The following is a 26,783-nucleotide window of genomic DNA, read 5'->3' as shown; positions in this document are numbered from 1 at the left end:
GAATGAACGATTCCTAGCTCCTTTAGTTCTGGAAAAGGAGAACAGGCTTTGTAGCAGAACTCCCAGCAGAAAGGCCCTACTGGGAGGAAGCCTGGGTGGGAAGGACTGACTACTGGGGCAGCGCTTCCAGGTGGTCCCTGGGCTCAGAACCCCCAGGGCTGGAGTCAGTGAGCCACCGAGGCAAGACCGCAGGAGGCAGGAGCCTGTTTGTGAAGATCAGCAGGACGGACAGGAGAGCTGGTAATGGTTGCCACAGAGAGGGAGGGCCAACCCCACCAAGAGCTCTGACTCAGATGCCGGGAACTGCCCCCCGGTCGGGCTTTGGGAGCCACGTGAAAGGAGCTGGGGGGCTTTCTAAAAGGATTAAAAGGCTGGGGCTAGCACAGGACTTGGATGATGTATGCTGTTTTCCAGAAACATAGTGTCCCTGCTCCTCCCAAATCACAAAGAGCCCCAGACTCCAGGGCTGTGAGGCATGTTCCTGCCTGGGGACAGAGCAAAGTGCCAGCAGAGGCCACATGCTGACTCCCTGAGCAGCATGCATATGCCAGCGGAGAGGGGGAGGAGGGGTTGCAAAGACAGAGGACAAGCCCAGGGCACTAGGGGAAGCAGAGACCAAGACACGCTCCCAGCTGAGTGCCCTGAATTCCCTCTTGACAGCGCTGGCAACCGACCAAAGCCCATTAAAACACACCACAAATATGATTTCCAAAGAAGAACTGTTCCCTGGACGTCTCACCCGGGCATCCTAGGAAATGCCAAAGCCCTGAGAGGGAGCCAAAGGGACAACAGTGCTCACAGCAGACAGAAGCCCTGTGGGGCGGCAGGCCTGGCATGGCTGGAAGCCAGGCTGCTAGGAGCAAGGCTGAGAAACGTGCCCCCAGGATCCCCCAATACTCACCCACGAGTTCCTGGGGGTCTCGCTTTTCTGCTTCTGTATTATCCTGCAAAAGACAAACAAATACGAGGAGGTAAGACTGGGGCTCCTGAACCAGCTACTCTCTACTGAGACCACTCAGGATTTTTAAGGAAGGAGAAAAAGTAAAAGCACTGCCAGGAACACTAAGGGTAAGCTGATGCTTCAGGGGCCTCTGGCACCCCCGAGCCTCCGAACCCTCTTCTTCCCGCATCGCAGCAGCCGGATGCTCCCGAGCCCCACGCCGGTCTCTCCTCCATGCCTTTTCAGTGACCAAACCCACCATCGCTGAGGAGAACACAAGCCAGCAAGCCTGCTGCAGCCAACTGGGCAACGTATACCCTGCCTGTTGCTCTCCCCTGGGTCTGAGGAAGCTTGCCTGAATGGAGTGCAGAGCTCAAGGGCCCGGCCAGCCCAGACATCACCACCTCTACCGCTGGTACCAAGGAAGCAAGAGGTGACTGCTTTGTAACAGCAGACTCCCGAGATGAAAATGCAGACTAGCTGCTCCCAAGATACTCTTCTTATTTTTAGTTCAAAGAAGGGAGGCTTCATCATGAGGATAAAGGGGCAGCTCATGGAACCTCAGAGCAAGCATGCAGCAAACCTTTAATAAGTGGCAGAATGGGGATCCCAGAGAGGCCCCAGGCTCAAGGAAGCCTCTCTCTGGCTCTCAGCTCCCTTTACACTGGCTTTATACTCCCTCCAAAGAAAAGCTTCCTCCAATCCCTAATGCAAACAGTGTCCCATGACAGCTACATCCACATGTCCTGCAGAAACCTGAGAGCAAAGGCTTCTTAGACGTTTTCTGGATTTCACTGTTCTGTAGTAAATGTTTCATCTAAACCAAAATCAATGCTGAGAAAGCCACGGTCCAAGCCCTCCGTCACAAGTCTTCCCTTGCCTCCATTGTCTCAAGTGTAAAATGGCAAGAACACACCTGTTTCCCCCATTTCTGGGTTGCTGACACCCAGCCCCTCAAAGCCAGTTAGATCAACAATCTCAAGGGCCACACGTGCTCATCATCAAAACAGCAGAGGCAGAGTTCACAGAAAGTTGCTGGACGCCATGTCTTTTCCTGCTGATGAGTGAGGGAGGAGATGAGACAGGAAGACCCTGCAACAAGACCTTTTCGAGGACAGGTGCAGAGCTCCGCAGGCTCCACTTACACAGACATGGCACACCACGCCACGGCTCCAAAAGGAAGGTGCCAGGAAGGCCACCCAGTTCCCCACACTGAACCTAGACTCAGTCTTAGCCCCCTTTCCAGAAAGTCCCTCCTGATGCTGGGACAGGCCAAATTCCCCATTCCTCAGAACACTGCAGCTATTCATTCAACCTGGCAGGGCACCACGTCCAGGCCAGGCTGCTTAGCAACCCATCTCTTCGAGCCACTGCCCCCTGCCAATCAGGTGGGCAAAGAGGAGGCTGGGAGCAGGCAGGGAGGCGCGCCTGGAGGACTGCCACACCAACTTCAGGTTGCAGTCATAAATCAGCGGCTCTATAGAGACTGCCGCAGTCATAAATCAGCAGCCCTATAGAGACTGCCAGTCTCTCAGGGGACCAACAATCCCTTTGTAGCAGTGACTCTCAGGAAACCAGTGTTCAAGAGTGTTAGTAACAATACATGGGACTGTAAAATGCCCTCACATTTTCCCTCTAGAGAACAGCTTTCTGGGTGCTGATTGTAGGAAAACATCAGCTCCTCCCTCACCCGCCAGCTGGCTGATCATACAGGGACTGACCATTCGTTAACTCTCCCTCCAGCCCCCACTCACCCTTCCCCAAGGCTCCGCACCATACCACACCCACCCCTTCTCATGGACTCAACTGCAGAGGCCCAATCCCCACACAAGGAGTCTACCATGTCTACCCCAAAGCCACAGGAAGTTAGTCACCAAACATGCAATGGCTCTTCAAGGGGAAACACACTTGCCACTTCAGGGCCTCCTTAGGTAAAGTAAGAGGCCAGGAGCCTCCCCGTGGCTTCTTGTGGCTTTTGTGAACCTGGAGATGGAAAGGAGTGTGGGGTGTGTGTGCTGCCAGGCTCAGCTGAGGTTGTTGAGTCACGTCTCTGGAAGAAAAGAGATGATGGGGCAAAATCACAGGAAGTATTTTATCCCTTTATTTTATTTTTTTCCTTTAGGTTGGCTCTTCAGTTCCCCCTAAATTATTCCTTCTACGCCTAAGAAATAAATAAACTGGGTAGTTGGGTTCCAATTTGCCAACTAGTCTGGTCTTTGCTTTTCTACCCTCTTAGTACAAAAAAAGGGCATGGCATGCCCAGAGTACACCCTCAACTCGCAACAAGAGGACTCTCATTCAGTCCTGAACCTGAGGCCCACAAACAAGGCCCACCCAGCTTCCCAGCAGCAGAATCCAGCTCCATGAGCCTTCCCACCCTCAGTGCCTCTGAACAAAGTACTGACCAATGGACCACAGACCCAACTCCAAGTTCAAGAAGATTCTCCTGCCTTACGAGGACCCATTAAACCAAATGCATGAAGTAGCCTGGCCAGCTCAGAAGCCATATAAGCGTGCACGCTCAGGAGGAGGCCAGCGCTGCTGCACTAGGGTCTCCTAAGAAGACTGTGCTGTCTGTGTTGGTTCAGATTCCCATTGGTGTCATAGGCACCCTTGGGACCTACAAGGCTCTGGAGAATCAATCTGGGAATCTGCCTCCTGCTGGCTATACCTTATCATGTTTAGAATGTGATTCTTCTGCCCTCTGAGTCCAACAAGCTGGGCCATGAGCTTGCTGAGCCCTGGGTGCCTCTGTCACTGTGCCGAGCTTCTCCTAAAGAAGAAAGACAACAACCTAAGTTCTCTGGATCCTAAAGTGCTCGCTTGGTCAGGCGCAGTGGCTCACGCCTGTAATCCCAGCACTTTGAGAGGCTGAGGTGGGCCTGACTGCTTGAGTCCAGGAGTTTGAGACCAGCCTGTAGTCCTAGCTACTTGGGAGGCTGAGGAGAGATCACCTGAGTCTGGGAGGTCAAAGCTGCAGTGAGCTATGATCATGCCACTGCACTCCAGCCTGGGTGACACAGGGAGACCCTGAAATACCCCAGAGCTGCTTTTTAGTACCATTTACACACAACCATCCACTGAATCAAGTTTCATCCAATAAAAGTGACCTCTATTCAAACAGTAATGATATGCCTCTATAACGACCTCCACCACAGGGAGGACAGGCCTAAAGAGATGCCCTCTTACCAGTCATGTCTCAGATAGGAGGTATTTAGTATGAAAAATGGACCAAGCACCCATGACAGTTATCATGGAAGCCAGCCATGTGTCAGAAAAAACATGTGATGAACGATTTATTTTATAATTTAAAAAAAAGTATTTTATTTTAGATTTGGTGGTATATGTGCAGGTCTGTTACATGGATATATTATTGTGTAATGATAAGTAAGGTTTGGGCTCCCAGTGTACCCATCACCCAGAAAGTGAACACTGTACCCGGTAGGTAATTTTTCATTCCTCACCTCCCTCCCATTGAAATCTTTTAATTGATAGAAGTCACCTCTCGCCCACTGAAATATTTTAAATGACAGAATTAAGGAGACGGAAGAAAGGCTCGATTATTAAACTGCCAGTCGTTCAAGGCACTGGTGTTAAACCACCTGCTCTGGGGGAGATTCTCACTATGCCCTTAAAGAGGCAGGAAGCGGAAAGAAGGGCTGTGAGGATACAAGCAAAAAGCAACAAGAAAGCACTGTTCATCTCTTCCCCGCCAGCAGCGTTTTGAAATGCACAGGAAACACCTGTCTTGACTCGTATGAATCCACCCACTGGCCTTCAGGTAGAAATTCTCAGTTGGTTAAAGTAATGAGCTCATCCTGGATGTCTAGTCACCAGGCATCTGTCTACATCAGCCAGAGGGCATGGAACCCGCAGCCCAGAGACATGAGCAACAACACACAGCCAGAACAGGCTGAGGGCTTTTCACCCAGTTCCTAAGGAAGGTGAAAACAAAGCACCTCACCTAGGAAAGGAAGGCTGCTCCTGGGAGAAAAGACTAGGCCCACCTCTTCAGCCCCCTCATTCAATTCCAATCAAGACACAAGGAAAAACAGGCTGGGGGAGTTGGGAGGCTGAGGTGCGCAGATCACTTGAGGCCAGGAGTTTGGGACCAGCCTGGACAACATGGTAAAACCTCCTCTCCACTAAAAATACAAAAATTAGCCGGGCATGGTGGTGCATGCCTGTAATCCCAGCTACTTGAGAGGTGGAGGTTGCAGTGAGCCGAGATTGCGCCACTGCACTCCAGCCTGAAAGAGCAAGATTGTCTCCAAAAAAAAAAAAAAAAGATACAAGGAAAAACGAAAAGACAAAAACAAAAGCCAAGTTAGAAAACAGAAAGGAGGAAAGAGGAAGTATGGTTTAAACGCTGAGCTGGTGGAGGACACCAATCTGAGCCGAGGTCTCCTCCTCTGCCTGCACCCCTCATCCACCCAGACCCCACCTGAGACTAAAGGCCCAACAACCAGAGCAGGAGGCGGCTGCGGCACACTGGGCGCTGTCCCTGGAGAAGAATAGTGATCTCAACCTGCCAATTTGGTTTCTTAACCAACTGTGACTGAGACTTGGAAGATGCAACTGTAGGTCAGTGGCAGGGGCCTGGTTCTCAAGAATTACAGAACCTGGAATATGGTTCCTCCTGCAGAGAATACAAAAGTCCAGCCATTGATGAAGCTGACTGGAGCGCAGGAAGGAAGTAACAACAATATAGACCCACGAAACTGGACAAGCTGCCATTTGAGCTGGGAGGATTTACTCAGCAGAGAAGTACCAAGTCCTGAGTAAGAGAATGGAGGTTTATTTACAGCCAACAATGCTTCCTCAATCCTTCCTGGAACCGGCCCCACAAAGCTCCAGTGTCAAACTTGAGTTCCACAAAGGCAGCCGCCAGCATCTAGATCCCACCAAATCTAAACGTCATGTTTTCTTTCCAGCTTCGGGAGTAGCGGGCACAGAGAAAGCACTCTGAACAGGGGCACAGGGCAGCCAGCCCCGAGGCCACAGGCAAGAATGCTACAGACTGGGGGTTTCCTGTTGGGCAATGTAATCTTGCATCTTACAAGTACGTGGCAGCTAGGGAGGCAGATTAGTAAAATGACTCCTTTCAAACCTTTATTCTCTCAGACCTGGGACAGCCCATGGCCTGATGAGATCTCACTTCACGAGCACAATAGCTCCTTAAAAACAGATCCTCACTGTGGCCCACGAGCCTTGAGGATTCCCTGCTGCCCATTTCAGCCTCTTCCTCCCCTTTCTGCACCCAGGATCTTTGCAATGCCTGCTCCCTGAAATCACCTTCTCCCCACTCCTGCCTAGAAAGCCCCGTGTAGGCCTCAGCCCAGCCCAGGGAAGCCTTCCTCTACCCTCATGCTCACCTGGCCGATGAAGACAAACTACTCTACTCTGTGTACTCACAAAAATCACCAAGTCTAATAGTCAGCCTGGTCCACAGAAGGTGCTCAAGCACTGACCTCTCTCTGTCTCTCTCACACACACACACACACACACACACACACACACACACACCCCAAACACTGTCAGTTTGTCTTCTGTCAAGTTTAGGTTCCACACCTACCTTCAGCTGTTATGTTTTAACTTCAGACTCCCAGCCTGGTCAACTCCACAGTGAGTTTCATGTGTAGATTCACTAGAAATGTCAGACGGACAGGCAGCAGAAGAGCAGCTAACAAAAGGGCTAGGCTTGCAATAAAAGTCTGCCAAGGGGCAGGAGAAGGTGGGGAGGGGACACCAACGCTGAATTACAAAAAAATTTCAAACCCAATTCTTTGTTCATCTTTCTGCATCATCTTTTTTTTTTTTTTTTTCCTGAGACAGGGTCTCACTCTGTCACACAGGCTGGAGTACACTGGCGCAATCATAGCTCATTGCAGCCTTGACCTCCTGGGCTCAAGCAATTCTCTTGCCTCAGCCTCCCAAGTAGCTGGGATTACAGGCATGCACCACCATGGCTGGCTAATTTTTAAATTTTTTGTAGAGATGGGGTCTCACTATGTTGCCCAGGCTGCTCTTGAACTCGTAGGCTCAAGCAATCCTCCTGCCACAGCCTCCCAAAATGCTGGGATTACAGGTGTGAGCCACCACATCTGGCCCTGCATCCTCTTTCCGAACACTGGGCCTAATGCTCCTAAATCCTAAGACAAAAATAATTACTGTATAGTTAATTCATTTATTTTTTCCACAGATAATTTATTGAGCATGATTTATACACCAAGCAATGGGCCAAGCATTGAGGATAAAATATGAAAACTCAATCTAGGGGAATAAGTTTAGGTATTATGCTAAGCTCTTCAATTAAGAATCTCATTTTTCACAACAGTCCCATGAAACTGTGCTCTTAACCATCAGGCAATACAGCTGCTTCAGAACAACTGCTATGCCATCCTCCAGAAACCCTCTTGTGGAGGCATCAAAGTAATAGTCAAAACAAGGTTTTCTGAGATCAATGTGAGTCACTTCAGGTTGCCAAGAAAGCAACAATGCTGGATTACCTTTATAAAATACCTCCAAGTTCCAGAATAAAATGATGTTGGTTTGACAGAGACATGGTTGGGGGCTAGGAGTGAGAGCTGTCAACAGCTCAGCAAAGCCTCCAAACCCAATGCTGCATGGGAACATCCCACCCCAGAGGCCAGATGCCAGCCACCCCCACTGGAGAGCCCTGGAGAAAGCCCATTGCTAGCACATTTCCTTTAGTTGTATCCTGTCGGCCAGGACTGAGCCACTGCCGTGGGCACACTGCCTGCCTGGGAATGGAAACACTCAATTTATCAGAAAAATGGGCGGAAGTTGGTGGGGCCCTCTGGGACACGCTGGGGTTGCCTTTGCTTAGACCACTTGCTGATGGGAAGGCTCTGCTCCCAACCACAGAAGGTTTCTTTTTTTCTTTCTTTTTTTTTTTCTTTTTCCTGAGATGGAGTCCCGCTCTGTTGCCCAGGCTGGAGTGCAGTGGCGCAATCTCGGCTCACTGCAAGCTCCGCCTCCAGGGTTCACGCCATTCTCCTTCCTCAACCTCCAGAGTAGCTGGGACTATAGGCGCCCGCCACCACGCCTGGCTAATTTTTGTATTTTTAGTAGAGACGGGGTTTCACCTCGTTAGCCAGGATGGTCTCGATCTCCTGACCTCGTGATCTGCCTGCCTCAGCCTCCCAAAGTGCTGAGATTACAGGCGTGAGCCACTGCGCCCGGCCCCAACCACAGAAGGTTTCTATAGGAATGGGTGAAACAGGAGTTTGCCAAGACTTATTAAGCCGGCTATAGAATTGGCCTTGTAGACTGAAGACAAGGTAGGGAGGAGGAAGGGAAACAGTTTCTCTATTTGAAAAATCTGGCTAAATTTACAAAGCCCACGTGACTCAGCACGGCTCCTGATGTTGTTACATGGAACATGTTACAACCAACTAGACTTCAATGTAAATGCAGGGAGCTATTTCCAAGGGGGACTTTTGTTATCCGACTATTCCAAGTACAATCTACATTTGATTCAAGACACTTCAAGATTTTTGGTTTCTTGAAAGTTACAGAAGATGGTCAGAGAGGGCCATTCCCTTTTTGTCTTATCCCCAGAGTGTCAGGAACGGGTGTATCTAGGTCCAGAGTTTGCCTCACACCAAGGATCTGAGTCAAGCTCTTGGTGGTGAGGCCAGGACAGGCTTTTTCCCTTCAAGGCTTCCCACAAGAACAGTATCTCTGTGCTTTAGGTTGATATATTTGGGGGGTTGGGGGGAGCCTGGAGACAGACAAGGACAAAAGAGACAGCTTTGTGAGGTTGAGAATGCAAGTCTGGAAGGCACACAACTCTACATGGCTACCAAATTACAAAAGCATTCCATCTGAGAGGCTGGCCGACAAGCTGAGGAGTTAGTTACATCAACATCTCAGGCAAATATACTCGCAGTCCCTGAAAGTCAGGGTGACAGAAATGCAAACTGGTCATCATCGACACCGGTAGGAAGGGGACTGAGTTACTTAGAGGGCCAAAAAGAAGGCAAGCATCTTTGAAGCACAGCCCAGAAAATATTTACCTAACTCCAAAGTTAGGAATAGAAATGAGCAAAATCCTATTGAACCCAGAAATCACACAGCAGCATTTCAGGAGACATGGATGAAAATACAGAACGAAGGTCGGAAGTGCTGGATCCCTAAGGACAGGCAGTCCTCTGTATCATATAATTTCAAAGAAATGAGTCCCAGATGGGGAAGGAGGGGCCCAGCCACACCTCAGTTAGCAATCCATGGCATCTGGCCCGAAGGGAAGGAGGTATGTTGGGGCTTGCACGGCTGATGGGAGGGTGTACCAGACACGCGGTGGCTCCCTGTGGGCTGTGGAACCACAGGAGTGAGGTGGGGCTTCTGGGAGTCTCAGCTTCAGGTTACTTGGATCAACTGCCATCAAGAAGGCCCCTCTGGCAGTGCAATGGAGCCAAGGAGGGGTCAGAGGGAGAATAATGGTCATTGTTCCCCTTTGCATGAGATCACAACTTCCAACAACTACCAGCGCTTCTACCAGCAGTGTTCAGCTTATGATGTAGTGAGGCCTTCCTTGGAAGGTGGCAGGACAAAGCCAAAGCAGGCTTGGATTTCCTTCCCTTGCGACAATTGAAGAGTGACTTTCATGGCCTGCCTGCCTTTCTGACTCCTGCTCAGATCCGGTTATCACCCAGCAGGCCCCTAGAACCCCCAGAACCCTAGACCTCAGGCTGGGGTAGGTTCTTCCCAGCACAGCCACTCCACGAGCTTCTGGAAATTCCATGTCTCCCAGCTGTGCAAGGCAACCCTAGTGTTGTTGAGGAAAAGCCTAAAGAAGACCATCCATCGTGTTGAGCGCAGGGAAGTGCCGAATGCTACGTAGGCTTGGGCATTCTCAATAGTTCAAGGCCCACATTACAACTTCCAAGAGAAGGGTGGTGGATGGCTCACAAACCAGCAATGGTCAAGGGCCATTTCCTTCTCTGGTCCTGGGTGAGTCATACTGTAATTTTGTTCCCTTCTAATCAGCACTCAAAAGATTACAGGGTATGGGAGATAGAACACAGGGGCAGGTGGACTAATAAAACAGGATGGAAGGATGAAGCATATACTCTCCCACTCACATAGCACCCCACATGACACCCTAAACGTAGAACCCACTACAAGCTAACCTACACTATTCAAGTCTCACAATAACCCTATGAGGTAGACATTATTATTTCCATTTTGCACACGAGTAAACTGAGGTAAAACACAATGAAGCAGCTCACCCAATAAATGGCAATGTTGAAATTCAAGGCCAAATCTGTTTGGCTCAAAAGCCCAGTTATCCAGTTATTCCCAACTTCCCACCTTCTCCCTCTAGACTAAGAGGCTGCAAAGGGTAGCGGTTTCTAGGAAGCTGTTGGTTCAACCACTGGGTAAGCCAACAGTGAAGACCAAGAAGGAAAAGCACCCCTCCAGGAATGATTCTCTAGCAGGTCAGAGTGAAGCAGGTATTAAAACCCTGGACTTAAGGGAAGACAGCCAGAATTATTATCTTTCACCTATGACGATCAGGGGAAACAGCTCTAGAGTCCATGGGGCCCCAGTGAGTCACATCTGAGTTAACTTGTTTGAAAGGGTTGGTCCTGCAGGCTTAATCACACAAACCGTGGGTGCTACCTCCCTGTCCTTAGCCTAGAGACTTCCTGGGGACTCACAGAAAAAATGCTACCAAATCCTGAACTCTACCCAGCTCTTCTCCCTTCCTGGGGGAACAACCATGTGGACTTCCAATAAGAACACGAGCTTAAAGAACGAGTTATTCCTTCTGACCCAAGTAAAGCACATGGCCCATTTCCTGTTCACCAGAGAACTTCATTAGAGGGAAACTGCAGACATAGCATTCAATTATAAAAACCTATTCAGATTTTGCTAGTGTAACGTGCTTATTTCTGGATTTAACTTATATAGCTGAAGAAAATATGAGAATGAGGGAAATGATGTGAAAATCTGTGGGGCTAAGGACTGGTGTCACTACTAGAACAAAAGTTGGTAGATCTCAATGGGTTTTTAAAAAAATCTCCATTTGGAATATTTAAAAAATTATTATTATTATTATTATTTTTTACCAAGCACCATGGTTCATGCTTGTAATCCCAGCACTTTGGGAGGCTGAGGCAGGCAGATCATTTGAGGTCAGGAGTCCGAGACCAGCTTGGCCAACATGGTGAAATCCCAGCTCTACTAAAAAAAATACAAAAATTGGCCAGGCGTGGTGGTGTGCACCTGTAGTCCCAGCTATTGGGGAGGCTGAGGCAGAAGAATTGCTTGAACCCCAGGAGGGAGGTTGCAGTGAGCTGAGATCGCACCACTGCACTCCAGCCTGGGCGACAGAGTGAGACTCTGTCTCAAAAAAAATAAATAAATAAATAAATAAAATAAATTTTTCTTACAGCAGCTTTATTGAGATATAACTCCTATACCATACAATTCTTTTTTTTTTTTTTTTTTGAGACGAAGTCTCACCGTGTCACCAGGCTAGAGTGCAGTGGCGTGATCTCAGCTCACCGCAACCTCCGACTCCCTGCTTCAAGTGATTCTCCTGCCTCAGCCTCCTGAGTAGCTGGGATTACAGGCACGTGCCACCATGTCTGGCTAATTTTTGTATTTTTAGTAGAGATGGGGGTTTCACTATGTTGGCCAGGATGGTCTTGATATCCTGACCTCGTGATTCGCCCGCCTTGGCCTCCCAAAGTGCTGGGATTACAGGCATGAGCCACTGCGCCCAGCCTCATATGCCATACAATTCTTCAGTGTTTGTTTTTAACTGTTCATTTGTGTCATATTGCTATTATAATTATACAGTACAGCAACATTGAAAATGTTTATATATAGATAGAGACAAAGCTGGATGCAAAACATATGTTATTATAGGCAAACATAAAAGAAGAATAAAAATGGCTGTATGAGGCCGGGTGCAGTGGCTTGCACCCGTAATCCCAGCTCACGCTTGTAATCCCAGCACTTTGGGAGGCCGAGGCAGGTGTATCACCTGAGGTCAGGAGTTCAAGACCAGCCTGACCAACATGGAGAAACCCCATCTCTACTGAAAAATACAAAATTAGCCGGGTGTGGTGGTGCACACCTGTAATCCCAGCTACTCGAGAGGCTGAGGCAGGAGAATCGCTTGAACCAAGGAGGTGGAGACTGCAGTGAGCTGAGATCACGCCACTGCACTCCAGCCTGGGCAACAAGAGTGAAACTCCGTCTCAAAAAAAAAAAAATGGTCGTATGGTTAGCATCATGAGATTAGGTGATTTTTTTTCCTTTTGCAAAATACTCAATCTTGCTACAATAATTTGACAAAAATAAAAATAAACACAATATAAAAACATTTTATATTTTTATAAAAAAATAACTCTGTCCATTAAAAAAAAAGTCCAAGCTTAAGCTCTGAGAGCTCAAGTTTGCTCTTTCGTTCTGCAGAGTAATTCTCAGTTGTCAGGGCTCGCCAGCAGCGCATCAACAAAGGCACACAAACAACCTGTTTGCAATGCTGCAAAAGGACTCGGGGCTCCTATCTCATACCACATCACATACCCTCCTAAATATCCTTCAATATCAGGAGGAATGCAACCCTTTGCTGCTTGTTTATGAAAAGCCACAGCATCTTCCTTTCAGATCCCAGAGTCTTGGAAGGGCAGCGAATATACCAGGAGCCCAGATGGGAAACACTTGTGCTCTGCAGCAATCCTGCAGAAGCTGCCCGTGTTCTGGGTCTGTGTTCAATAAAAAGAATATAAGATTTCAACCTGCAGTGCTGCCTGCATGCAATTGCTGGCAGGCTCCTCAAAGTTCTTCCTATAATCAGCAGTCAACAACAAATTCCTGGGAGATTAGCCCCTTAGGCAGTTTTCAGATATTTGATTCTGGTACTTCAAAAGATCAGGAGTAATGCAAGGACAGTGGGAAGGAGTTGAGAGGAGAGTGGGTGAGGGAATTACCGAGTCAGCTCTGCCCAATACAAATCCTCATCTAGACTGTGAGTCAGTAACTCCCGTCAACTGGGAGACCTGGTCTTCTTCAGGATGGGTATGAATAGCCACTGAGGCAGAGAACCACTCACCCGGCTGGGCCTCCAGAGGAGGCTAAGTGAGGACTTGTCAAGGCCCCCACTCTGGAACTCTTAAGACAATCTACTGCCACAGTTCCCAGACTACTACCTGGGGTAACCCAGCAAACTCACAAAGGTGCCACAGGATATTTAACAAAACTGTTACAGGAAACACAGCCTTACTCCACATGTCACATACCACACACACTTACACATATTATTTTTTTAAGCAGCTACTGAATTGTGAGGACAGTAATACTTAGTGTCTGAAGCTAATGACATAAGAAACAGAACCATTCGTTAGGCATTTTTTCTTCTTTTTTTCAGACAGGGTCTTGGTTTGCTGCCCAGGCTGGAGTGCAGTGGTACAGATCTCGGCTCACAGCAACCTCTGCCTCCCAGGATCAAATGATCCTCCCATCTCAGCCTCCCAAGTACCTGGGACTACAGGCACACACTACCATGCCTGGCTAACTTTTGTAGTTTCTGTAGAGACGGGTTTCACCATGTTGCCCAGGCTGGTCTCAAACTCCTGTGCTCAAGCAATTCTCCTGCCTCGGGCATCCCCAAGTGCTGGGATTACAGGCTTGAGCTACCACACTCAGCCATTAGGCATTTCTTTTTGTTCCAGAGGTCTGTGAAAAACTATGGAGACATGAAGGGCAGTGAGCCGAGAAATCGTGGCGCCTTCTAACCTACAGGATAAGGGCGTATAATCAGACTTAGTTACACTGAAAAGGCCAAGCACTGCTAACAAGTGCATTGTATACTGCGAAAAGCACCTTCATGTACATTCTCTCACGCCGCAGTCACAACCACCTTGCAAAGGGGGTCTCACGGCCCTGACTGCCCAAATGGAGCCGAGTGAAGCTTAAGTTACAGGCCTGTGGTTCCACAGCCAGAGGGAAGCCAGGCCAGGGCACAACCCAGGTCTTCGGACCACAAGTCCACCAGACCGGCTCTAAATTGTTTGTGAGCTCCACATTTTAGTACTACTTTAGGGATCTTAGAATTTTAAAAATGTCTTCTCTTAACTGGGGTTATACACGCCTTTTTAAAAAATGCCAGAACAATTCCCCCCAACCCCCACCTGATGCCACCTCCTTGACCCAGAAGACGGAATTTTGTTTTCACAGATGTACACTCCTGGGCTGGGAGGATTCTTTTCCTAGATCAGAGCGTGAGATCTAGATCTTTTCCTAGATCAGCACCTCAGGGAGGCCGGCGATCCCAGTCCCTCCCAGTCAGCTGGCAATAGGCTGCTCCATCTTTCTTGCTCCAGGCTCTCAACCCCCATGTTTGTTTTCAAAGGAAGGGTGTGTCAGGGACAGTGAGTGAATGGAAACAGCTTCATCCACAGGAACTGTAGGAGTGGAGAAAAAAATAAACAAGGGAAACCGTCCAGAGCAAACGAGGTAAAAATGGACAAAGGAGAGTGGCGAAAGGGATGTTCGGGTGCCAAAGGTAAACAGGGGGAGGAAGCACTTCAGCCACCAGGCACTCCTTTCCCGGAGTGAGGTGCTGGCCCCAGGACTGTCACGTCTGCTCTTTTTCCAGAACAGCAGTGCCACCTCCTGTTAATTTGCTGCTTACCGAAGAGACAAGATCAGAAACTTGAAGTTAGAGACGAAAAAATAATGGAACACAGGAAACAAAGCTTGTTTCCTATGCAACGCCCAGCCTCCTTCTCCAATCTCCTGTTCGCTAGTTTGGGGCAAACTCAGCACCTGCAGAGCCCAATCCCTGCTGCCCCAACCTAAAGGACAGGACCAAGTCTCTCTGCCCAGGTGGGCCAGAGTTAGTTCTTACTCACGCTCCCAAACATGGGACTCTGTGCTCACAGGTAACCCCAAACATCAGAGCAATAAAAACCAGGGCAATTCCAGTCTGTGCATATTTTAAAGTCATCAGATAACAAAGTTAGAGAATACTCAACTTTGCTTATGTATAATGCCCAAGTCCTTTCCTAGGGGGTTCCCAGGGAACTCCCTGGAGTTTAATCCAACCTCTACCAACAGATTTTATGATGTTGATGACAAGTCGTTTCTTACAACTTGCCTGAAGGCCGGGCATGGTGGTTCACACCTGTAATCCCAGCACTTTGGGAGGCCGAGGCAGGCAGATCACGAGGTCAGGAGATCGAGACCATCCTGGCTAACATGGTGAAACCCTGTCTCTACTAAAAATACAAAAAATTAGCCAGGTGTGGTGGCGGGCGCCTGTAGTCCCAGGTACTACTCGGGAGGCTGAGGCAGGAGAATGGCGTGAACCTGGGAGGCGGAGCTTGCAGTGAGCTGAGATGGAGCCACTGCACTCCAGCCTGGGCGACAGAACGAGACTCCGTCTCAAAAAAAAAAAAAAAAAAAACTTGCCTGAAAAACCTCTAGAAACAGGGAGCTCACTACCTTATGAAACAGCTCAACCCACTTGTGGCCGGAGATCACAAAAGGTCCTTCGTTATATGAAGGTAAACTTCTGTGGAATTCTGCGCGCGGCTTCAGGTCTGCCTCAGGCTGCCTTAGCCTTTCCCTCAGCAGACCTTCAAACACCAGAGCGCAACCCCGGCTCTTCCCGAGTCTTCTGTCTTCCAGCTCTACCTTTCCCTCAGGTGATGTGCTTTTGAGTCCCCTCACCTTTATGACTGCTCTTCTGAGAGCACTCCAGTTTAAAACATGGAATCTGCTCTTCCAAAACCGGCCGACAACATGGTATGACCAGCCTGGGAAGTGTGCACAGGTGGAACTGGAAGTGATGGTCAGTTCAGCCAATGCTACTGAACAAACACACACCAGACATACTGAGTCGAGTACAGCCGGCCCTCTGGATCTGTGGTTCTGAATCCATGGCCAGAACTCACCTCCAATTGTGTGTGTGTGTGTGTGTGTGTGTGTGTGTTTTAAATTGTGTCTGTGTTGAACGTGTCAGACTTTTTTGCTTGTCATTATTCCCTAAACAACACAGTCTAACAACTAGTTACACAGCCATTTACATTGTATCAAGTATCATAAGATGATTTAAAGTATCCAGAAGGATTCCCAAGGCTAAATGCAAATGCTACACCATTTTATATCAGAACCTTGAGCATCTGAGGAGGGGGTCCTGGGATCCCCACAGATAGTGAGGGACAACTGCATTTTATTTTTACTTAGTTGAACCTTAAAATAAATGAGACAGATTTTATTATGATGATTATTTTCGCGATGAGAAAAACTGAGGTTAAAGGACTTCCCCAAGAAAACCCCAGTCTCATTCCAGAGCTTGAACTCCTCCCCACCATGCCAGGGCTGAATCATCTTACTCTGAATACTAACCCACCCTCAACATGGCTCAAGACCCCATAAGGCTAACAACTTAACGGACATTTTCAGAGCAATAAAAACAGTTCTCAAACAACTACTGAATCACTGACCCATGATTTCTGTTTTAGAATAATAGTAGTTTTTCTAAGGGGTCTGCAAAGTCAAAACCGTTTTAAGTCATTGTCTTTTTCATCGTGTTGACCTTTGCACAAGCAATGGTGGGTAAACTGCTAGCCTTTAGAACAAATTGAGGTGGCAGCACCAAACTGTAGCCGTTTGATTTAAAAAAAAAAAAAAAAAAAAAGGGCTGGGTGTAATCCCATGGGATTCCCATGCCTGTAATCCCAGCACTATGGAAGGCTGAGGTGGGTGGATCACTTGAGGTCAGGAATTTGAGACCTGCCTCACCAACATGGTGAAACCCCAACTCTACCAAAAAAAAAAAAAAAAAAATACAAAAATTAGTCAGGCACGGTGGTTCACATCTGTAATCCCAGCTACTCGGGAGGCTGAGGCAGGAGAATCGCTTGAACTGGGAGGTGAAGGCTGCAGTGAGCTGAGATTGCGCCACTGCACTCCAGCCTGGGTGACAGAGCGAGACTTCGTTTCCAAAAAAAAAAAAAAAAAGCCAGTTTCACTTAAGAATGGTCAGCCATAGGCCGGGCGTGGTGGCTCACATCTGTAATCCCAGCACTTTGGGAGGCTGAGGCGGGCAGATCACAAGGTCAGGAGTTCGAGACCAGCCTGGCCAATATGGTGAAACCCTGTCTCTACTAAAAACACAAAAATTAGCCGGCCATGGTGGCGCGTGCCTGTATCCCAGCTACTCAGGAAGCTGAGGCAGGAGAATTACTTGAACCTGGAAGGCAGAGGTTGCAGTGAGCCGAGATTGTGCCACTGCACTCCAGCTTGGGCAACAGAGTGAGTGTCTCAAAAAAAAAAAAAAAAAAAAAGTTTTCTGCCAGGACAGTAAAAATGATTAGTTTTATGACATCTTGACATTTGAATATACATCTCTTTAATATTTTGGGCAATGACATGAGAGGCATGCATAAATACTTCTGCTGCATAACAAAGTCAGACAAATGTCTCAGGGAAAAGCACACATAGCAATGCCCCCTTATCCGTGGGGTATACGTTCCAAGATTCCCAGTAGATGCCTTGAACCTCTGATAGTACTGAGACCTATACATACTATGTCTTTTTCCTATACATACATACCTATGATAAAGTTTAATTTATAAACTAGTAAGAGATTAACAACAATTAGAATTATATACTGTAATAAAAGCTATGCGAATGTGAACTCTCTCTCAAAATAGCTTACTGCATGTAATATATTCAGACTGCAGCTGACCTCAGGTTACTGAAGCCACGGAAAAGGATGGACTACCGTTTGTGATTATTTGAGTCACCAGTTGAACTGACAGTTTTCTTCAGGAAACACCATTTTTATTTGAAATAATGACAAACTAGTTATCTGGACTTGGGTATTTGGCAGACATTTTCTCAAGACCAAAGCCTGTTACTTCAAGGAAAGCTCTGATAGCACATATTGAAAATGATAAATTCATGCTTTCAAACAAAAATTATTAGAAACACATTATCTTAAAAAATGTATTGCTCCTTATTGTGGGCTTGCTAAAAGGTTTCTAACATTTAATGATTTTCTGATGAGATTAGTGATGTCACTAATAAATACTACTTTTTTGATACGACAGAACAAAATGTGTCAACATTTAGATCTGTGTAACTCAGTACATCAGCAATTTTCAAATCACCAGAGCCTGACGATATCAAATCATGTATGGGTAAAAGATCCATTCAAAGGGCAAGACAGACCAGTGGATTTTAGGGAAGCAGAATGCAGAGTTCACTGGTAAGGCTTTGCATTCCATGATGTAACTAACCTTTCAAGGAAACTATCACCTGTTGAGTTTTGATGAAGTATCAAAGAAGAATACCTATAATTACCTGAATGCAAAAGCAGTTATATGTACCCAGCCATATTCTATTAAGCCAGACATTAAAGAGATTTGTAAAGTGGTGACACAGTGCCACTCTTTGCATTAACATTTTTTTGGAAATACTTATTTTTTCTAAAAATGTTATTTATGTTAATATGTAATAGGTTTGTTTGTTTGAGACAAGGTTTCAGTCTGTCACCCAGGCTGGAGTGCAGTGACAAGATCACAGCTCACTGCAACCTCTACCTCCCAGGCTCAAGTGATTCTCCCACCTCAGCCTCTCGAGTAGCTGGGACTAGAGGCATGCGCCGCCACACCCGGCTAATTTTTGTATTTTTTTTATAGAAATGGGGTTTTATCACGTTGTCCAGGTTGGTCTCAAACTCCTGGGCTCAACCAATCTGCCCACCTCGGCCTCCCAAAGTGCTGGGATTACAGGCACAAGTCACTGTGGCCGGATCAGGTTTGTTATTTTAAAATAAGTAATTTAAAATTTTCTCAGTTTTAACTTATAAAATAGTAAACATCAATAGATAAAACCAAAATGAAAACTCTGAGATCCTCAATTTTTAATTGTGTAAAGAAACCTAAATGTTTTGAGAACTACTGAAAAAAATTAAAAGATCTTAAAAAACCATAGTAGAGGCCGGGCGAGGTGGCTCACACCTGTAATCCCAGCACTTTGGGAGGCTGAGGTGGGCAGATAACGAGGTCAGGAGATCAAGACCATCCTGGCCAACATGGTGAAACCCCGTCTCTACTAAAAATACAAAAATTAGCTGGGCGACATGGCATGTGCCTGTAATCCCAGCTACTCGGGAGGCTGAGGCAGGAGAATGGCTTGAATGCGGGAGGCAGAGGTTGCAGTGAGCTGAGATTGCGCCATTGCACTCCAGCTTGGGCAACAAGAGCGAAACTCCTACTCAAAAACAAAACAAAACAAAAAAACAACAAAAAACCAAAGTAGAAAGGAGAATGCCACCTAGTGGAGATGACAATTATGACAGTAATCTAATTGTTAAACAACACTTCTAACAAAGATCCACACTTGTAACATATTCTATTGTTAGAAACTTCCTATGTTCATGTGCACTGGGCCTGGTGGCTCACAGCTCTAATCCCAGCCCTTTGGGAAGCCAATGTGGGCAGATTACTTGAGCCCAGGAGTTCAAGACCAGCCGGGGCAATATGGCAAAACCTTTCCTCTACAAAAAAATTAAAAAAAATTGCTAGGTGTGATGCACACACCTGTAGTCCCAGCTGTTTGGGAGGCTGAGGTGGGAGGATTAATTGAGCCAGGGAGGTTGTGGCTGCAGTAAGTTATGATGGCACCACTGCACTCCAGGCGACAGAGGAGACTCCACCTCAAAAAAAAAAAAAAAAAAAAAAAAAAAACAAAAAACAAACAAAAAAACTTCATATGCTTAAAGCAGAATGTCCAAAATTAAGGGTTTTGAATATAAAAAATATTGTTACACATCAATTTAAAAAAATGTGGGCTGGGCACAGTGGCTTATGCCTGTAATCCCAGCACTTTGGGAGGCAGAGGCGGGCCTATCACTTGAGGCCATGAGTTCAAGACCAGCCTGGCCAACATGGTGAAACCCTGTCTCTATTAAAAATACAAAAAATTAGCTGGGCATGGTGGCTCACACCTGTAATCCCAGCTACTCGGGAAACTGAGACAGGAGAATCGCTTGAACCCAGGAGGCGGAGGTTGCACTGAGCCGAGATCACAGCACTGCACTCCAGCCTGAGCGACAGAGCAAGACTCTGTCTCAAAAAAATAAATAAAATAAATAAATAAAAATAAAATGTAAATGTGCCAGAAAGTTCTGGATTTGAGGTACATGTTGCTATGTGGAAGAGAGTCTGAGGCCAGCTCAAGCAGAAGGATGACAGGGCCAGGACTAAGATAAGAGTATCACAGAAGACTCATGCTGGGGATCATTTGTAGTCCTTGGAGATGCCACGAGGACTCCTAAAGGCCTGGCAGCCACTGGGGATTGCAGAACATTGAAGCTGGCAAGCTTTATCTAAACCCTTCTCCATCACCCTCCAAAAGAACTATATCAAGTGACTTTGAGGGTTGGATTTTGTGTTCTGATTTCTGAGGGCTCCTCAAGAGGAACAGAAATTATTCCATGAAAACTTTTCATTCCACAGTAAAACTTGAAATGCACATGAGTGAATGAGGAACAGCGAAGCACATCAGTCAAGGAGCAGGCAGGAATGACGAGGCTGTCAGCCGTGATGTAGGGCTGAGAAGGGGAGCCTGAGCACAAAAGGCATTTCCACAATCTTCCCAGCTTCACCTTTTTTGGGTCCCTCCCACCCCGCTCTTTAGTGACTGCTACTGGACAGCAGTAAAGTCTGTTTTGTTTTTCATGTGACCCCCACCCTGACTCACAAAGCCCTGTCATCTCCCAAGGATTTGTTGCCTGGATTACAGTATTTTAGAAGGGGTGACCGTTAAGTGTTATGTACCCTCCTCTCCAGCCAACTTCCCCAGGAAGCCTTCCAGCCCTAAGAAAAGGCTGCAACTGTACCCAGAAAGACTCTAGGACCCAGATCCTCCCTTCCCTCCACAACTGAAACCCAAACACTTAACGGCTCCCTGGGCTTGTTTTACGTGCAGGCTCCAAGTCCCACATACCCTAAATACTAGGCAGAGAAGATTATCACTACTGAGTGTTTTGTTCTGCAAGCCCGAGGAGAGCTGTGACTGACTTTGAACTATGGGGCCATGGGTCTGCCCATACCATCTTGCCAGTTCTCAGGCAGGGCGAGTTCTCAGGCCTGGGTTCCAGGTTTTTCACTCAGCATAGAAAGCAGGTTGCATTTACAGTTTTCAGGGGTTCTTTTTTTTCCCTCCTGCATGCTGGCGCCAAAACTTTCTTTCCTGGTAAAACACACTCTTATCTTTCTCACTCACAACGTCTCAAGATTTTAGTGGCTACATACAGTTCTATCCAATCACAGAATCAGCTCAAATATGGAACAGCTCACACTATATTTTCAAGAATATTACTGTTTTAGATTTTAATTGGGCATAAATTTCCTAAATTTTACTAGGTCATCTTGAAAGTTACAGCTGGTTTCCAAGCAGTTTTTTTTTGTTTTTTTTTTTGAGACAGATTCTCATTCTGTTGCCCAGGTTGGAGTGCATTGGCAGATCATGGCTCACTGCAACCTCTGCCTCCCAGGTTCAAGTAATTCCCCTGCCTCAGCTTCCCCAGTAGCTGGGATCACAGGTGTGCACCACCCACCAGTCTCACCAGTTAATTTTTGTATTTTTAGTAGAGACGGGGTTTCACCATACTGGCCAGGCTGGTCTTGAACTCCTGACCTCAAGTGATCCTCCCGCCTCAGCCTCCCAAAGTGCTGGGATTACAGGCGTGAGCTACTGCGGCTGGCCTCAAAGCAGTTTTTAACTGCAAAATGGGTCCTTATTCCCCGGGTCTAGAGTGATATAATTAAGTCTTTTTCTTTGGGGGTACAGGGGGGAAGTTTTTCCTCATAAAAAATGACTCTTCAGCAAGTACACATTTCTAATGGCCAATGCACAGCACAGCAGCTTAACCAACACAAGGGTGTCTTAACCTTCACAACAGATCATTATGGAATGTGATAGGAATTGCTACAAATTACTCTTGGCTGCTACTAGGATGACACTATGAGAATAGTTATGTTGTTCCGAAAAAGACCATTCTGTACAGCTTGCCCAAAAGTGGATGGACACACCCCCAGGAAAATGAGCATTAGACCCACCATCCCTGAGAGCTGGGGAGAGGCCTCATTTTGGTCTGACCTTCTTATAGCCTCTTGTTCACTTCTAGATGACTAAAGAGAACCCAAAGCACGCGAGGCGGCCCTTACACCTTCCTGGGTCTAGAAACAGACTAATCCACCTGCAGGGCAGTGACACTTAAAGCCCCATCTGGGATGCAGAATGCAAGTGGGTTGTTGGCCTCAGCCAGGCCTCTCGCCTTTCTAGTCAGGAGATATGGCACAATCTGAAAGGCTGGAAATCCAATGTGTCTCAGGATTTGTTCATTCCTGAGTTGTCTCCAGGTTCTTTCTTTATAAAGCTTATTTTATCCCAGAAAATGTCCACACAGTTGCACAGTTTGTCAGTGGGACAGATCTTGACCAAACATACGAACTGAGCCACAGTGTTCAAACACCTTGTTTGCATCCAGCCACCCACCACAGCCAACACCAAATACCTTTGGGTCATCAGCCTCAGGTTTTTCAGTCTCTGAATCGTCATCTTCCTACAAGACAAAGAATTTAGAGGATTAAGCTTAAAGGAGCGGGCCTGAGGAGTCTCACATGCATAACTAGGGGCCGGAGCAAACAGCCCATTTACCCAGCTGGGGTCATCCCACCAAGAATCCCTCCCCTACCATATAACTCAGAACCAGAGAAAAATAAGGGGAAAAAGAGATATTCTGGAGGGGAAAAAAACAAAAAACAAAAAAGCATCAGCAGCTCAAAGTCAAGTTACTTTAGTGGTGAGACAGTCCACATCAATGAAGATGCCCGAGTTCAAAGTCACATACATAAAAATGGAGAAAGCTTGCAATATGTTTTAGGAAAGAGTAAGATCAGGCCACACAATAAAACAGGCATCGTGTTTCCACTGAAGTATCAGTTATTTCAAATCAGGATTATGAGCCTTCTTTCCTTTTCATATACACATGTACATCAGACTCGGACCTACTCTAACAGTGTCCAACACCAAGTGCCAAGGCTTACACACAGCTGTATCGCAGCACCTCAACCGGCATTTGCACAAACATCAACACAGGAAGGCAGGCATCAAACTACCTGAGCAAGTGACCTGGGAAAGGCAGGACTAAAGGGCAATGCCCAACCTTTCAGGAGTCCCAGTTGAGTGGGCTCTGCCTCCACCTAAGTGCTCACAGAACTGCCAGTGATCCATTCTACCCAGTCCTGTTCCTTATCCAGATGAGGTCAGCCTGACACAAAGGATCACACACGGTAAGGCATTCTCCAAAGCGAGCCCGCCATTCCACTGAACGCTAACGCTGATGCTATGAAGGTCAAAGATCAGGAGCAGATGCTGGACCAGCTACCTTATTAGCTGGCTAAATCCATGTCACCTCCACTACCCAGAACACTCCCAATGCACAGAAGCCTTTAACTAAATACCCAGGAAAAAATGGTTTCATTTGAAACTACTATTTTCAACAAAGCTACATTTCAGCCCAAACATTACACAGCACTCCATATATTAATATAAATACCACTCGAGAGACTTGAACAAACTAGACTCATGATTTGGAGACTTAACTGTCCTGTAAGGTACCAGTGAGTCCAAGGCTTTAAATGCAATCTCCATAATCTCCTTAAAATGAAATCAGTCATGCCAAATAAACAGAGATGGAGCTCAGACAAATACAATCACATTTCAGAATCTCTACAACAAGATCTGATGAGAGGATTTTACTAAAATATGAAATGAAGCTTAAACATGATGAAAATTCTAAGCAAAGCAAATATGAAATAACACTTCAAAAACACATTATGCAAACGTACTAAAGAAAAGAGTTATGAATATTAAGCCAGAATGTGTGTACTTCAGAAAAGTCAGAAAACAACTTGCAAAACTTTTCTGAATAATTTCAGTCAACTCTGAATTATCAATATTAATGGATGGGGCTAAAGGCATGAAAGTATCTCCCAAAATGCATCATGTACAAAACGCATTTCTGTTTGTTGTGGAAATAATTTTTTTTTTTTTTAAGATGGAGTCTGGCTCTGTTGCCCAGGCTGGAGTGCAGTGGCGTGATCTCGGCTCACTGCAACCTCCGCCTCCCGGGTTCAAGCGATTCTCCTGCCTCAGCCTCCCGAGTAGGTGGGACTACAGGTGCGTACCACCATGCCCTGCTAATTATTGTATTTTTAGTAGAGATGGGGTTTCACCATGTTGGCCAAGATGGTCTTGATCTCCTGACCTTGTGATCCGCCCACCTCAGCCTCCCAAAGTGCTGGGATTACAGGCATGAGCCACCGTGCTTGGCTGGAAAGAATTTTAATGCTAACATTTACATACCAACATGTAACAAAAATTTCAAACAAATAATATATTTTAAGTGATTTAATTAAAACTTGCTAAGCAGTCAGATTTGACATCTAGACTCAACTCTGCCTGTCTTATGCTAAGCACCAACTTCAATTTCCTTGCGTTTTCTGCAAACTTAAATTCTGGCTCATGTTGCTCAGGTGATTATGTGTCTAAAGACTTTCTTGTTAATAATAGCACAGGTTCTCCTTTCTCCAGCACCTACTGAACTTCAGGCAAGATTTGTGATCAAGAACTAAGGGCACCATTATAAAAAGTGCCAAATAAAATGTCAAGAAAGAAGTTAAGAAGGCCAGGGATGGTGGCTCATACCTGTAATCCCAGCACTTTGGGAGGGTGAGGCAGGGGAATTGCTTGAGGCCAGAAGTTTGAAACCAGACTGGGAAACATAGTGAAACAACGTCTCTACAAAAAATTTTTTTTTAAATTTTAAAAATCGGCCAGGAGCAGTGGCTCACGCCTGTAATCCCAGCACTTTGGAAGGATGAGGCGGGTGGATCACCTGAGGTCAGGAGTTAGAGACCAGAATGGCCAACATGGTGAAACCGTCTCTGTGAAAAATACAAAAATTAGCCAGGCGTGATGGCAGGTGTCTGTAATCCCAGCTACTCAGGAGGCTGAGGGCAGGAGAATTGCTTGAACCTGGGAGGTGGAGGTTGCAGTGAGCAGAGATCGCACCACTGCACTCCAGCATGGGCGACAGAGCAAGATTCCGACAAAAAAAAATAATAATAGGTTAGCTAGGCATGGTGGCGCCCACCTGTAGTCCCAGCTACTGGGTAGGCTGAGGTGGGAGGATCACTTGCGCCCAGGAGTTCAAGACTGTAGTGAACTATCTATGATCACACCACTGCACTCCAATCTGGACAGCAGAGTGAGACCCTATCTCAAAAAAAAAAAAGAAAAGAAAAAGCAGGTGAAAACGAATTTTCCTTTCTTATCTTGTTAATAAACTGAGAAGACTTAAATGAGCCCCAACCAAGATTAAAAATAATGCAGAGTTGACTGTAGATATAAATGATACACCAGTTAGGATGAATGCCTGCTATAAATGGAGTAAATCATTTAAACAGGGAAAAATCAACATAAAACACCCATTGATATCTGGGTTAAATAAAATAATCCACTATCTTTTCCCCCAAATTTCAATTCAAAGATTAATAAAAAATGATCCATGTGAAAATACATTTTCAAACAGATCTGATATCCAATCCAGTTTCTTCCACTAATACTAAAACAAAACGGGAGAGCAAGGGATGGAGCTAACCATGAAATGGAACACTGTTGGCACAGTTCCAAAATCTGACAAATGAAATTGTGCTTTCAGTAGCTCTGGATCTGGGAGATTTACCTACCGACTGTCTACTGTTCTCATCTTCTTCTTCTTCATAACCATCTTCATCACCCCCTAGACGAGAAAAGTCATCCTCCCCATAGGCATCAGATACCAATCCGCCTTTCTCCTCTGAAAGGTTAAAAAACAAACAAACAAACAAAAAGCAAGAAAAAAAAAACAAGAGTTACAATGTAAGAAAAAATGTCCAGAGATTTGAGTGGCCAAGACTATCTCTGAAGATACAAAGGGAACCTAAATCTCATGTTAAGTTACAATAGGCCCAGATTCGGCTCTCTGAGAAGGCCAGCATTTACTGAATAAAATCATTAAAAGGTCAGGGAACAAAACCGAGTACTAAATTCTGTTTCTAATGCTATAAACACTAGATAAACACTAAAGTGTTTATAGGAAACCATCAGAGAACTTTCTGACTGGAAGAGACCACACAAAATCACAAAACATGGAAGTACCTAACCTAATCCAATCCCCTTCACTTTCCAGATGAGGAAGCTAAGGTCCTGATATGTTGTTAGGTAACTTGTTCTTTATTCTCCCAAAGGAATCTGTTTCCATTATCTAACATTGTGCTTCTCAACCTGAGGAGGAGAACATCACCGTTAGGCTTTAAAAACTCACAAAATAAGAAAAATCACCTGGGATCCTTAAAAAGTTCACAAATGCCCACATCCTACCCCAGTTCTACCGAATTAGGTTCTCTCACTTTGGGCATCAGATACGTTTGTTTTTAAAAGCTCCAAGATGTGTTTAGGGCACATTCCTAACTAAAAGTTATAAAGTTAACGAACACAATCTTTACCATCTTCCACGTATGTTTTACTTATCGCTCTCCCTCATCAAACAACGAGCCCAGGGGAAACAGGCAGTGGCTGAGCAGCCGCTCCCTCTTCGTCCATCCCTCTGTCTATCACTATAGCCGGCACGGAGTCTTTCAGTAAGTTTAGGCAAATTAATCGAAATAACGGGAAGGAGATTCTTCATTCTTAGTCCACAGTCTCTAATGCTCTATCTCACCCCGGACCCTGG

The 26,783-nt window shown here is 46.2% G+C and overlaps 1 protein-coding gene and 1 long non-coding RNA gene across 12 annotated transcripts in view, besides 2 other annotated features; one reads left to right on the top strand and one right to left on the bottom strand.

Annotated features, from left to right (window-relative positions):
• Nucleotides 1-26,783, bottom strand: part of SAP30BP (SAP30 binding protein) — a 40,722-nt gene that overhangs the window by 13,676 nt on the left and 263 nt on the right. For 4 of the 10 annotated variants that reach the window (NR_126036.2, NR_126037.2, XM_011524693.4 and 1 more), the window contains exons 2-4: nucleotides 25,759-25,868; nucleotides 22,521-22,568; nucleotides 902-944 (exon numbers count right to left, since the gene is read on the bottom strand). Coding sequence is in view for 8 of the 10 variants with exons in the window: in XM_011524693.4 (XP_011522995.1) it covers nucleotides 902-944; nucleotides 22,521-22,568; nucleotides 25,759-25,868 (201 nt within the window). In the remaining 2 variants the exon portion in view is untranslated. Of the gene's footprint in view, nucleotides 1-901; nucleotides 945-2,848; nucleotides 2,991-3,611; nucleotides 3,714-22,520; nucleotides 22,569-25,758; nucleotides 25,869-26,783 lie in introns of those variants that run through there. The other 6 variants (XM_047435870.1, XM_047435871.1, XM_011524694.3 and 3 more) reach the window with 4 other exon arrangements.
• Nucleotides 5,248-5,747: an enhancer, noted in NCBI's record as "H3K27ac hESC enhancer chr17:73684717-73685216 (GRCh37/hg19 assembly coordinates)". NCBI's record gives its function as "activates a minimal SCP1, AML or CMV promoter by ChIP-STARR-seq in naive H9 embryonic stem cells {active_cell/tissue: H9 hESC(naive)}" and the evidence as "EXISTENCE:reporter gene assay evidence [ECO:0000049][PMID:30033119]".
• Nucleotides 5,748-6,249: an enhancer, noted in NCBI's record as "H3K27ac hESC enhancer chr17:73684215-73684716 (GRCh37/hg19 assembly coordinates)". NCBI's record gives its function as "activates a minimal SCP1, AML or CMV promoter by ChIP-STARR-seq in naive H9 embryonic stem cells {active_cell/tissue: H9 hESC(naive)}" and the evidence as "EXISTENCE:reporter gene assay evidence [ECO:0000049][PMID:30033119]".
• Nucleotides 9,585-10,841, top strand: SAP30BP-AS1 (SAP30BP antisense RNA 1). Of its 2 annotated transcripts, none has more exons than NR_186496.1 (2): nucleotides 9,585-9,919; nucleotides 10,606-10,841. It is a non-coding gene; the product is annotated as an SAP30BP antisense RNA 1 (long non-coding RNA). The 2 variants fall into 2 exon arrangements; NR_186497.1 differs by lacking the exon at nucleotides 9,585-9,919 and adding an exon at nucleotides 10,342-10,407.

The sequence above is a fragment of the Homo sapiens genome, chromosome 17 (genome assembly GCF_000001405.40).
Source record: "Homo sapiens chromosome 17, GRCh38.p14 Primary Assembly".
Taxonomy (NCBI): domain Eukaryota; kingdom Metazoa; phylum Chordata; class Mammalia; order Primates; family Hominidae; genus Homo; species Homo sapiens.
The sequence above is the reverse complement of the archived record's forward strand: the minus strand, read 5'-3'. Positions and strand labels throughout refer to the sequence as shown.